This window comes from Homo sapiens, chromosome 13, assembly GCF_000001405.40.
Source record: "Homo sapiens chromosome 13, GRCh38.p14 Primary Assembly".
Classification (NCBI taxonomy): domain Eukaryota; kingdom Metazoa; phylum Chordata; class Mammalia; order Primates; family Hominidae; genus Homo; species Homo sapiens.
Window position 1 is genome coordinate 51,740,794 of NC_000013.11, and position 13,611 is coordinate 51,754,404.

The 13,611-nt window shown below is 39.4% G+C and overlaps 1 protein-coding gene across 9 annotated transcripts in view; it reads left to right on the forward strand.

Annotated features, from left to right (window-relative positions):
• The window catches only part of WDFY2 (WD repeat and FYVE domain containing 2), a 183,248-nt gene that overhangs the window by 156,332 nt on the left and 13,305 nt on the right, over positions 1-13,611 (forward strand). For 7 of the 9 annotated variants that reach the window (XR_007063659.1, XR_941483.2, NM_052950.4 and 4 more), the window contains one exon: positions 10,517-10,622. Coding sequence is in view for 7 of the 9 variants with exons in the window: in NM_052950.4 (NP_443182.1) it covers positions 10,517-10,622 (106 nt within the window). In the remaining 2 variants the exon portion in view is untranslated. Of the gene's footprint in view, positions 1-10,516; positions 10,623-12,069; positions 12,240-13,611 lie in introns of those variants that run through there. The other 2 variants (XM_047430089.1, XM_047430091.1) reach the window with 1 other exon arrangement.

Below are 13,611 nucleotides of genomic sequence, written 5' to 3' on the forward strand. Positions count from 1 at the left end.
TTGGACTCTCTCAGAGAAGTGAAATGCAGGTCTTGAATGAAGATGACTAATATTCACTGGACTCATTCATTTCACTCCTAACTAGTTTTATTTGTACGCAGTGGTTAATAAAGACTGCAAGCACTTTTGCACGATTTCATGCACCAGATGCTGAACTGCAGCAGTGCTTAACACCAGCATCACTGTGTGCAAAGGGCCCTTGACCTGAATGGAAAATGTGGTTCTGGGAAACTTACGCCTACAGTTTGTTACGAAAGGAAAAGCTATAAAGTTTAGATAAGTCTCTCAGTCCTAGAAAAATAAAACTTTAACAAATAGCTCTTCCAGTTTCTAAGTACAGACTTGTCCTTTTAGAAAATGGAATAGACCCTGCTTGGAGTCCATGCTGATAGAATCATGCCCTTAGAACTTGCACAGGTAAGCAGGCAGGCTGCTGAGATCAGGAGCCACCAGGCAGAAGTGGCTTTACACAGGATGAAGGGCAGAAGGCCTTTGCCTGGTGCTTTATTTAATTCAAGCTTAGTAATACATAAAGTGAGCTCTATGAGGGACTCCTTGTCATCAGGTTTTAACCCCGGGGAGGGGTTGCTCTGGTATCACAGAGCCAGCTCCTCCAAAATTTAATTTAAACTTCCTCAGCATCAGTCAGTGTCAGTCTGTTAGAGTGGGTCTGAATGCCAGGGTGGGGATAGAGAAGTCCCTGGAGCTGCCAGAAGTAGGGAGATGGCATGGAAAGAAGGTTTCGGGATCATCTGGCAGAAAAGGAGACCACTTTCAGGCAGGCAGGGAACAACTTGCGCAGCCGCCATTCCTTTACCCTGAAAGTCAGCTGCTGGCATTCAGTGATTCTCGTATTTGAGTACACCTAATATTTTGTGAAAGAGCTTTCAAAACACACAGACTCCGTTCAATCTTGCAATAACACTATAAAAGAGAGAGCTCAGATATCATTTTTAGAAGAGAATATTGAGGTATTCAATATTAATATTCAGTATTAAGACCCCAGCTGGTAGCTTAGGTCTCTGAACCTTAATTGAGTCCAGCAGGGAGCTGCTTAGCACCTTTCGTATACCCAGCCCTCAGTAAGGCACTGGGGATACTAAAATGAGCATTTATTGACTAACACATGGTCCCCGACATGCCTGGTGATGTGTGCTGATGCTTAGGCCTCAAGGCTGCCCTTTGCTTTCCTACAGTTCCTGGTTAAAGTGACTGATGGTGGCCATAGTTCCAAATTAGGGGCATAATTGGTGAGCCTGGAAACCGGGGAGAGCAGACTGGCCTCCCCAGGATAGGGAGACTGCCTTTCCTTGGTATGGAAATGTCCAGCCATTCTGTTGAGGGACAGCTGCACATGTCTTCTGTTCTGAGTTCCACAGCTTCTTACCATCCTTCAGCAACAGAAAATGTGACATTTTTATAACTAGCTTGATTTGGTGTGTAAAAATCCCATAAAGCAGAGAAAGCTTTAGCACCAAAGAAAGTGATTGATGACAGTGAAACTGTTTCCAAGTCCAAGGGAAAAAAAGCTAAGAAAGTATTCTTTTATACAATATTATCTGCATTGGAAGCATTCTGGTGTATTTATTCCCTGTAGCAAGTGGATCGTGATTGTATGCTGTGCTAGCTCTGTGGGAGGAAGGGCAAAAAAAAAAAGGTTCCAGATTCCGGGACCAGTTATATTTGCAAGCATCAGTTACTAGTTGGATGGTTATTACCGAAACATAAACCTGGACACTTATTGTCCCATGCCTACCTTGTCATAGCTAATAACGGTACTTGGTCTTTTTAGAACCCTTTTAAATTCTTACATAATACTGTCATTTCTTGACCAACTTCACGCCCGTAATTTTTCTTTCTAATAGTGTTTTCCTATCCTTCTAAGACTTGATGGTAATTTAATATAACCTGACTTAAAGCACCAGTAAAGATCTTTGCTATTCCTCATGTTGGAACCCTCCACCAAGAATGGATTCAGCAGCTTATGTGAGGCTAGGTCACAGCCATGACCCTTGGCACTTCCAGTCTGTGTATTTGCTTTCTCCTTCCAAAATCCAAGCTCTTGATTTCTCTCTTACTACTCTTACCACATATGAGAATTTTGTTGTAAGAGTCCTCAAAGCCTTTTGGTAAAGAAATAGGCCACTTGTAAATAAATATACATGGAGAGAATTTGTGCTTTTCCCCTTGTATCAAGTAAATTGCATTGAAAGTTATAAAAGGAGTAGAATTCTTGCATTCAGCTTCTGGGTTAGAGGACAGGTGGACAAGGATCAGTACAAATGACAGCTTTCTGCTCAAATCTGTGAGATTTAAGAGCATTTCCCACTGTGGTGCTAGGGAACTGTTAGGATAGAGGGGACGAGATGTGTCTTTTTTATTTCTAACTATTTAGCTAAACACATAATAGATCAAAATATCAGCTATGAGAGTTTTCATAGAAGGTAGAATCTTCTCAAAGACAGAAGGGCTGGAAAATGTGGTCATTAGTGTGCAGGCCTCTGAGTCAGGTCAAACTATATTTGAGCTGGCCCTTCTGCCAATGGCCTGCAGCCTCAGGCGAGGCACTGCACCTTTCTGATCTTCAGTTTTCTTATCTCTAAAATAAGGACAAAATTGGAAGGAAAAACCCTCACAAGGTTGTCAAAAAAATATAAATGATGTAATGCATATAAAATAATCAGCCCAGGAGTACAGGCCTGTTAAATGGCGGTTGTTAAGATTACTCTTGTTAATAAAAAATTCCAAGTCAAAAATCCTGCCTTGGGATCTGACTACTGTTTCTCTCTGTAGAATTTCCTATGGAAATATTAACATATATTCATAACTCAGTCAACACATGTTTACTGAACTCCAGCTACATACCAGACTTTGTGTTAGGTACTCAGGACACAAAAGTGAGTTAGGAAATAGCCCTGCCTTTGTGGAGACGTGCTAGAAGTATGAAAATAGGCAAAGGTGGCACCGTTCGCCAGTTTTACTGGAAAGTGGGAGGCCTCAGTGCGGGGGTCACTCTTGGTTTGGATGATGTTAGATGAAGAGATTCTCATAGTTCTCAGGATTAGGAGGTTACCCAGAACAGAGAATGGCATGAACTAAAATACAGTGGGTTTAGGAAATACAAGTGGACAGAGGGCGAGAGCCTAATCTGAACCTCCACCCTGCCACCAAACAGCAGAACATCGCTGGTGCTCAAACCAGTGCCCCCAGACGGGGGTCCCTGAGTTCAGGTTTAGCCTGGCAGTGGGCCAAGGATCCCTGAGGAAGCAGATCCCTTTTACGGTGCTTTGGCTTGGGATGACCCTACATATTATTGTCTGGGAGACCTCACTTGTGTGGATTGCTCACAGCCTTCTCTGGTCCTTGGAGCTTGGAAGATTTATGCATATAGGAGAGTGAGATCTCTGGTAGTAGAAGCATAATTAATTAGATGCCCACTAAATAACCTAAACTTTTCATCAAAGAAATGAACAATGCTATACATTTGAGTTCCCCTTACTCTTGAGGGATGAAGAAAGGCTTAAGTTGACCGTTGGGCAGATGTTAGCTTGTGTCTGAGATCTGTTTCTCTAAAAAGGATAAGGTCTTCTCTACCCTCTCCCTTAATCATCAGACACAGGACTGGCTTCATGGGCATGTGACATGTGCAGTCACACAAGGCCCCATTCTTAGAAGGGCCTCACACTTGGTTTAATGAGCTGCTGCCACCATCTTGTAATTCTTAATCAAGTTTTTTAAAGGGACTCTGTATTTTCATTTTGCACTAGTCCCTCCAATTATATGTTTGGACCTGACAGACATATGTTGCTGCTAGGACTGGTGAGAAAGGAAATGAGGCCATCCCACTAACTGTAGTATTTATAGATGGCAGATCCTGGTGGTTGTGAAAAGTGGGGGCTTTGTGCACTTGTAAGAGCATTTGCAGTGCAGTACATGGTAACACTCATCCATGAAATAATGACCAGTTTGAAATGCTTTCTAGTATAAACGCTACAGTGATGTCAGCTGAAACATGAATGTTAGAAGGTATCTGTTCATTCTTCGTAACCCCTAACGTGTAAACCTGGGATGTTCCCTCACCTAGCTTTTAACTGAAAGGTGGTTATATTTTGAATCCCTAAATCAAGAAGTCCCAGAGCAGCTTTATTATCAAACTTGGAATCCAGCATTCATCACTGTGTTTCACTCTTCTATGTTGGAATATTAACAGCACTGGAGTCCCATAAATTATGTATTTGTTGCTGAATGTTGCTGCCAGCTATGAGTGGCAAAGCAGTTCCTTATGTAGCTTATTTTGGTTTTACAAGATCATTGATGTGTATCAAGATGGCTCAACAAATGAAATGTAGTTCAAATCATAGAGTTACGAGTCTGTGCAACTAGATTGATTTTTCTTGCCCTTGAGTGTCACAGTGGTGGCACTCTATACTTTAAAAAGTGTGAAATAACAACCAGGAGAGATAGGGAAAACCCAATTGGCTTTTAAAAAAATGAATACATGTCAAAGATTTTATATTAGGCATTAATTAATAATTAATTAACTGGCAAAGTAAGTGGTTACTGCAGTCCAAAGGAAAATCCAAAGAGTAGACACATACATAGGCAATGGAGAATGTGAAAATGAATTTGTTAGCAGACGCACAGCTGGCTTCTCCCATGGGCAGGGTGGAGTGTGGGATTAGGTGTGTCTTAACTGGACAAGATTTGTTTGCAGTAATATCAGTATTCTTTAAGAGTTGTAAATAGATCAGTAAAAATACTAAAAGGTGTAGTCCCCTGTAGAATCAGATAGCCCAGAAAAGTGTGCTAGACAACACCTGAAGTTCCGCTGAAAAGATACCCAGTGATCACTTTTTGCCCATTTCAAATCTTTCTCAGTTTATCTGACTGTGCTTCCCCCCTCCTCCCCTGTGATCGTAATAATCTCAGTGATTATCCTTCATTTAAAAAAAAAAAAAAAAAAAAAAAAAAACCAGGCTGGTCTTATGAGGTTAGTCCTGATTATTTATATTGGTACAGTAAAGAGTGTTAATTAACCATATAGGCCACTCGGATTTGTTTTGCATATCCAGAGCCACACAGTATTCAACAATTTTGTGTTAAGCCCACAAAATTCACTTCTACCTGGAAGTTTTTATAAAGAATCTTGCACTGGACTTTTCTTTTTCTTTTTCTTTTTCTTTTTTTTTTTTTTTTTTTTTGAGACAGAGTCTCGCTGTGTCCCCCAGGCTGGAGTGCAATGGTGTGATCTTGGCTCACTGCAATCTCCACCTCCAGGTTCAAGCTATTCTCCTGCCTCAGCCTCCCAAGTAGCTGGGATTACATGGGATTACATGTGCCACCATGCCCAGCTAATTTTTGTATTTTTAGTAGAGACAGGGTTTCTCCACATTAGCCAGGCTGGTCTTGAACTCCCAAAGTGCTGAGATTACAGGCGTGAGCCACTGCTGAACTGGACTTTTCAAAGCCTCTAAAATTTGCCATACCAAGGCTAGAAAACCAAGCCCAAGAAACTCTACTATATTTCACCTACAGTATTTGCAACAACAGTTGAATTCCTCAAAGTTTCCACCATTTGCTAGGTTCTTGGCCTGGTACCTTCCTTACCAGCTGTAAGGCCAGGACCCTGTAAATCAGGTACCAGGCCAGTTTTCCTGGGAAGGCTTTGTAAGTTGGCTGTATGAGTTCTTAAAGTGGCTAGTCATATCTGATTCAATGAGCATCATTCTCACACATGACACTCCAGGTTATAAAGTTGATTTGCCCAGTTATATCTTGCGGATAGATTCTCACTGAATCGATGCAAATAACTATGTTTCCATGAAAATTAAGGAATCTCTGTAATAGTTTTCTTAAATTCTGGGCAATGAGTGAGAATTGGGTATCATTTCTTAAATGTTTTGATTTAACTTATAATAACAGAGTTTACGAAATTGTGGGTTAGAGATAGCTTTAAAATAGAGAAAAGGCATCCTCATATATCCAGAAAATAGAACATTAAAACAACATCAACAGTATTCCAGACAAATAACCACAATAAAATTTCCCTCTTCTGTTCATTCAGTTCTATGAATGAACTGTAATTAATTCTTGTTCTGATGGTTCTTGGTTTAGCAGTTCACATTCAAGAAGCCATCTGCATCCAGACTAAAAAGGGTCCAGAAATCCAAGGAAATCCTGACTCAATCCGCTGGCACAGCTTAAAAATTATCTAAGCAATGTCAGCTCAGCGGCCTGTGCCAAAGAGTCTGTTCTTTGAAATATCAATATTTTAAAATACTTAGTACAAATAGTTCTTTTCCATGAAACTCTGAGGCTGTCCTTTATTGAAGTCACAAATGCTATAGCAGAGCCTTCAGGCAAGGATCAGAATAATACAGAAATTATCTACAGATTATAGAGATTTTGTAACGTAAGGGTTAATTTGTAATTGTGACCAATGATATCAGAATGAGGGAAAGTAAAATTCCCCATTGGGATATGCTATATAACTCTTTCCTAAGAATTGTGATCAGTATTTCCCCAAGGGTAAAAACATATTATAGACAATAACGACATCAGGAAATCTCCACAGTCTTCCAATAAAACATGTAATTTCTGAAATACTAATAAAATGTTTTACCTACTGACTTAACATAGAGCAGGCTGAGGATCTCTTCCGATCTGACAGTTATTCCCATTTACTCTTAACATAGTAACACATGAAACAAATGCAATTATTTATAGCATTTCTTTTTAAAAAATTGTTTGCTTTTTCAGACAAGGTCTTGCTCTGTCACCCAGGCTAGAGTGCAGTGGTATGATCACAGCTCACTGCAGCCTCAGCCTTTCAGGCTCAAGTGATCCTCTGATCTCAGCCTCCCTAGTAGCTGGGACTACAGGCATGTACCACCACATCTGACTGAGTTTTTAATTTTTGTAGAGACAGGGTCTCACCATGCTGCCCAGGCTGGTCTCAAACTTCTTGGCTCAAGCAGTCCTTCTGCCTCAGCCTCCCAAAGTGCTGGAATTACAGGCATGAGCCACTGCGCCTCACCACATTTCTCTTTTTGTAAGATGAGGGAACAAGTCTTTATGATTTTCTAGGACCTCTCTGGGAAATCTTAGGCATAAAACACATCCTAAAAATTTTATTTTTTCAAAACAGAGGTTCAGTTTGGAAAGGCAAAACCAGAGTTGTATACAGTAAGACCTTCTTCTTCAAAGGGTTCCCTTGTCCTTTGTTCCCTGCTTTCAAGGCCAGACTCTCTTACTCTCTGTGTTCCCTTGCCCTGGGAAACAACCTTCCTCTCAGTCTTTATCTATAGAGCCCACATTCCACATCTGCTACTCACTCTGTAAATCACCCCTCCCATCACAACGCCCCCTCCCCCGACTGCCAAAACTGTTTTTCCACCGGTGTAACCACATCCCTGCACTTCTCAAGTTAGCCAACCGTGTTCGGCTTAGATTGTGCTGTCCAACTCTAGCCAGTGGGGACTGGACACAGCAGTAGGAGCCAACGCGTTAGTGATAAAGCTGCTGCTTTCCTTTGTTGGATGTGCTCTTGTGATCAGACTAATGAGCAGCACCCTTCTGCAGAAGTAAACTTTGCCTTGCTGAGAAATCAACTATTGGAGTGTTCATTTCATTTGTGACTTCGAGCTTTATTTCTAACAAGAGTTGTCAAGGGAATTTTAAGTAGGGTAAGACAGGAGCACAGGTGTTTAAGAAGCAATGTCTGGTTATATAATCAAAGCGGTAAAACATTTAAAAATAAACATAGATGATAACACAATTTTAAATAATTTAAAATTCTTTTCACACGTGAGTACTCCTTGTTCTCTCTCTCTCTTTTTTTTTTCTTAAGAGCATTAATCAAGTCAACATAAAGCACTGAAAATAATTCTGGTGAGACACAGAATGTCTGCTAGCTAGGCAGATTCCACAGAAGGTAAAGAACATCCTTTCACATTGTAGGCATTAATCAGTAAAGTAAGGAAGCAAGCCATCAAAACTGAGGGAACTTAGCCAAAATTGTAATGCATCTTATACCTTTTTTTCAGACTAAAGTATTATAAGCCAAAGCAAGTAAAACTGACTTTCCAAGTTTTGTCCTTCATTTTTCTCTTTCATATTCCAGAACAAATAGACACTTTAGTATTGCCCTTTTCATCTTCATTCTCTCGAAAGTATACAATGGAGTTTTCCAGAAGCTACATGATAAGTGATATTATGATTATGATAAATGCAGAAAGATGATTATCCATCTCTTCTATTAAGCCAGACATTAGAAAGGCTCGCAAAAATATTAAACAATGTCATTTTTCTCATCAAAATTTTTTGTTTTGGAAAATATCTTTTTTTACAGAATATGTGACTTATGTTAAAATGAAATGGATTCATCATTGCTATTTTCAAATGAATTAATATTTTAAAAATTTCTCAGTTTTAATTCCAAATTAAGTATATATCGATCATTATCACTTACTAAACCAAAGCTCTTTGGTGTCGTCAAATAAGTTGTAAGAGTATAAAGGGATTGTGAGACCAAAAAGTTCAAGAACCACTGCTTTGATACAAAGCTACCCTGTTTTGATTTGAAAAACAAAAACCACTGTATTTCTTTTTCATTAATGCTCCTGGCATAATCTCAACCACCCATTTAAATTATAATAATTAACCAGAGAAACTAATTTATATTTCATAGAGAAAATTAGGAGGAGGGAGGATATGGACAATTGGAAATCGTCCCATATAATCATTTTAGCAGACTAGCAAAACTCATGAACACACATTACTGAAATTTCCATAGTGACATAAGGCACTTTTACATTCCCTTAAAGTGGCAAAAAATGAACTCCTGTATTGACACAACTCAAAGGTATAGCCTCACTATAGCATAGAAAAATAAGAAGCAAACATATATAAACTTAATATTATACTTTATAATCAAAGTCACAGTATTCTAACTTACTTAGAAATTATCTAGGTATCCAATGATTATTGATTAGCTCAGGTTAACATTAGTCCATTTTGTTACCTAAAGACCTTGGAAATTATCTTTAAGTTGATACGCTACAAAACATAATTGCTATTCATATAAAAAGTTTGTCAGAATAGTTATTCAATTCAGCTGAACACAAATTTATATTTTTAATAATCTTAAACATTATGTATGAGTTCACTTGACCAGCTATCCTGAATAAATTTAGGAGAAGTAAAAATAAAATGCACACTTGTATTCTGTTCAACACTAATAAATCAGAGAAAGATGTAACATTTTAAAACCTATGTTACTAGTCTCATTTGCCAAATGAAACTTAATTTTATGAACTTGGATTCTTAAAATATTACTGAATTGGCTAGCAGTTTCTATTAAAAGAATTTTTATGTTTAAGTCTAGCAGGTTCAAAATATTAGAGGTTTGATGTTCTGTGATTTTAGGAGGATTCAACTTATAAAAGCACTTGTTTATCAAACAATCAGAACAAGTTCTTTTAATTTAAAAGGTATCGTAATCCAATTTATTGACACCCTCTGGAAATAGGAAAGCATTCCACACACAGCAAGAGGTGAAGGCTTTTCTGGATTATAAACACATAGACACACACAGCTTAATAGCTTTAGTTTTTCAACTTCAGCCACAGATCAAGAATAAATAGAAACACAAAAAAATCACCAGTCCAGATATCAAAGAGCTGTTCTCCTTCCCAGTAGAAACAAAATTCTTCATTGATTTGAGCTCAAAATAGACGAACATACAAAAAAAAAAAAAAGACCAAGAAACTATGTACCCTATTCTCTCACCCAATAGAGAATAGATCTCTGTAATCCATTGCTAGCAATCACTCAGACCATAAAACTAGATTCTCCATCATTTTTGCCGCCAAGAGGGAATAACTTGTCAGCCATGCACAAACTAGAAAGAAAAATAAAACAGAATCAGGAGAGAGAGAGTAAAAACTAGAGAAATGGAGAGCCTGTGAAATTCAAGTCTGTTACTGCTATGGATTCACTCTGGGAGCCAAGTAAAGGCATGCCTGGTCCCAAGCCACTTGTGAGGTGCACACCTCAGGCAACACAGTTTACCTGGCTGTGTCAGGTAAATCCAGTGGGCATCTCAATGGATGACCTCCAAAACTCTTCAAGGATAATTTTTTAAAAGGAAAAATCATGACTCTTGAACAAATGTGAAATGAACATACGCTACACATTTTGATCACTTAAGGAAGGAGGGAACCAGTAAGAAGTTACAGCCCATTCAACAATCAGCTTTTTTCCTTAAAAAAGGAAAAAAGTTGTAACTGACAGATTACCTCTTCCTGGGGCCTGAACATGCCAGGAGCATTCAGACTTATTTTAAATCCTGGATACTCTTCTGACCTTTAACATGCTGAAAATTCCAACAGGTTTCTAAGATCTACACTGGGGGCTCGGAGTGAGTGAGCACATTGGCTGACTTTGCCAAGGTTTCTGCTGCGAGGCCTTGCATTTGTTCTCCTAAACTGTCAATAACCCTTGGTTTCTTTCACAGCGACAGAGTCCAGGCCCTCTCCTATGCACAGCACACGCGACAATTGATCTCCTGTGGCGGTGATGGTGGGATTGTCGTCTGGAACATGGACGTGGAGAGGCAGGAGGTAGGTGGCACAGCAGGGTGGGGTGGGCCCTGTGGTTCTGGCCCTGCCTCCCTTCCTGCTTATTTCTTATTTCTTTTATGATTAAACCATGAAATAAGGCATGTAACGTTAAAGAATTGTAGCATAAAAGGAGTTGTTTGGGTTGTTTTTTTTTTCCCTCACAAGTTGGCATGTAACATTACTGTGATGGAGAGTTCATAAGAATTTTGACTGAGACTAAGCTGTTTAAATCTGTTACACCATTCACAGCAAAAGTACAGGTGAGGAAAAGAAACCATCTATTTCCTGGTGATTAGTCCTTTGGTATAAAATGCACTACAAAAACGGAGGACTCACGTGATTTATGTCATGGAAGAAAATAGTGGCTAAGATGAAGCAAGAATCCTTAGTTTGGTATTAATAGAAATACTAGAAATAATTATTTTGTACTTTATAAGTCATGTTCTAAATAGTTCCCCAGATATCAATATATCCTTAGTTTTCTAGCACGTATTTACATGTTATCAGAACATTCTTTTTTATGAGCTTTCATTTTAATCTTTGAGCATCTTAACAACAAATATGTTTCCTGCATATCTCTTTTGACAAGTACTTTGAAGTTAACCATTTTCCAATTACGTTAGAATTATTCTGGGTAGACTTTCCCTTTGACAATGCACATTCTTATAATTAATTTCTTGCAGGATACAAAAATTACATAGAAAAGCAACATTTTAAAAAGACAAAAGGGGTCTCCCACGTTCTTTCTGTGCCCTCACCCCAGTCTCATTTCAAGAGAGTAGTCGCTATTACCCACAATGTCATGCCTTTTCAAATGCCAGTAATTATATGCTTAAGAAGATTAAAGCTTTATTTGCTCAGATCTTAAGTCCATGGGACTTCTATTAGTAACTAATCAAAATGATCATTACTGTTAGAAGGTGGGAAATGGTAGAACATTGCTTTTGAAAACTATATTTGGCACCATTAATACAAAGGCTGGGATCGTTGTGATGAGTGCTGGTCATGCTAACCATGTTCCCGCATGGCTGGTGATTATGTCCTGGGTTGGGTTCTGCACGGTAGCCTGCTTTGGGTTAGGGACAGTCACACCTGGTCTGTCCTGACTTCTTTCTGGGCCCTCCTAACCAAACCAGGGGAGGGGAGAAGGACCCAATTCTTTTCCTTTGGTGCACGTAGCCTGGACCCGTTATGGACAGAGGCCAAAGGAAGATAACAGTGTGGTGTCCAGAGATGAAACCAAGTGGTTGATGGGCAGTTCTTTGAGCAACCTTGTTTATGAGCCTATTGATATGCAGATATAGAGGCATCCAATACTATTGACTAATTTAAAATCTTATTCAGTGAGTCAACACTCTAAATAAGCAATGGAGATGGTTCCATTCATTTTTTTGCAAGTATCATTTTTATAAACATAAATTTCCTGAGATTTTTGTTTTCATCTTAGCCTCTGTGGAGCTGCTTCGTGGTTATGATAAGTGCTGTGTGATGCTCACCTTGGGAGGTCTGCGACATATATTGAAGTCATCTCTAACCTGAAGTACTGACAGACTTTCTGGAAGAAAAGGCTTGTAGGAGGAAACTTCAGAATTCTATTAAATGGTGTAAATGATGAAATTATAGTTGATATATGCTAGAGCATCAGTGCTGGGTATTTTAGAAGGGATGGAGTCATCATTGGCTAATGTTCCCAGTGAAGGATTGAGGGAGGAACATTGTGCTGAAGGATCAACAGAGTCTGGATGTGCTCTGAGCAGGAGCACATGGGCTTTGCAGGCCACGAAACAGCAAGAGTAAGGACAAGGTGAACACGATAGGTTGATGCAGTGCATTAATGCTCATGAGCGGTTTAGAGAAGCAGTCAGAGATGAGAGGATGGCAGCTAGCTGAAAGATAAGGACAGACAATGGAAGACCTTGAGTGGCTGGATGTAGATCGAGTGACATTGCATAGGTTGAACAGGTGTTTTATACAGTTAATGAAATCCATTTTTGTTTTGTTAACTTTTAGCATTTTTTAAAAGTATATATTGTATATAACATTCTTGGTAGAAAAGTTACAAAATGCTCATTAGTAAATAGAAAAGATGTCAATTACTCATACTACCACCATCCAGAAATATCACTCTGAACATGTTGGCACACATCCTTCCTAACATTTTTCTCTACACATAACACGTGTGTAAGACTTTTTTTTGAACAAAAAATAGAATCACAAACATGCTGATTTATTTTTTCCCCTTTATTGGTCTTTAGCTCCCAAATGCCTCCTCACAGATACCCACTGTGATGTGTTTGATGTGTGTCCTGAACACGCATGCTTCCTTATAAAAGGTGTGTGTGTGTGTGTATGTGTGTCTGTGTGTGTGTTTTAAAGTTTACATAACTCAGCCGGGCACGGTGGCTCACGCCTGTAATGCCAGCTGTTGGGAGGCCAAGGCAGGTGGATCACTTGAGGTCAAGAGTTTGAGACCAGCCTGGTCAACATGGCGAAACCCTGTCTCTACTAACAATACAAAAAAAAAAAAATTAGCCAGGCATGGTTGCAGACGCCTGTAATCTCAGCTTCTCAGGAGGCTGAGGCAGGAGAATTGCATGAACCTAGGAGGCGGAGGTTGCAGTGAGCCAAGATCGCACCACTGCACTCCAGCCTGGGCAACACAGCAAGGCTGTCTCAAAAAAAAAAAAAAAAAAAAGTTTACTTAATTGATGTACTGTTAGTCTGGTTCTATTTCCAACTTTTGCCATTGAACCCTTTTGAGCTCTCCCATCCTGCTGTTTCTTGTGTTGCTTCTGCATAGGACCCCATCATGTGTACCATTCACATTTTACTTCTCTGTTTCCCAAACAAAGGGCGTGTAGACTGGCACAAACTCCCTGGTACCACACACAGTGCCCAGATGACCTTCTTATATGTGTCCCGTCACAGACCTGCCCTGTATGAGACTCAGGGCCATAAACCCAAGAGTGGGATCAATTGAAGGTATATT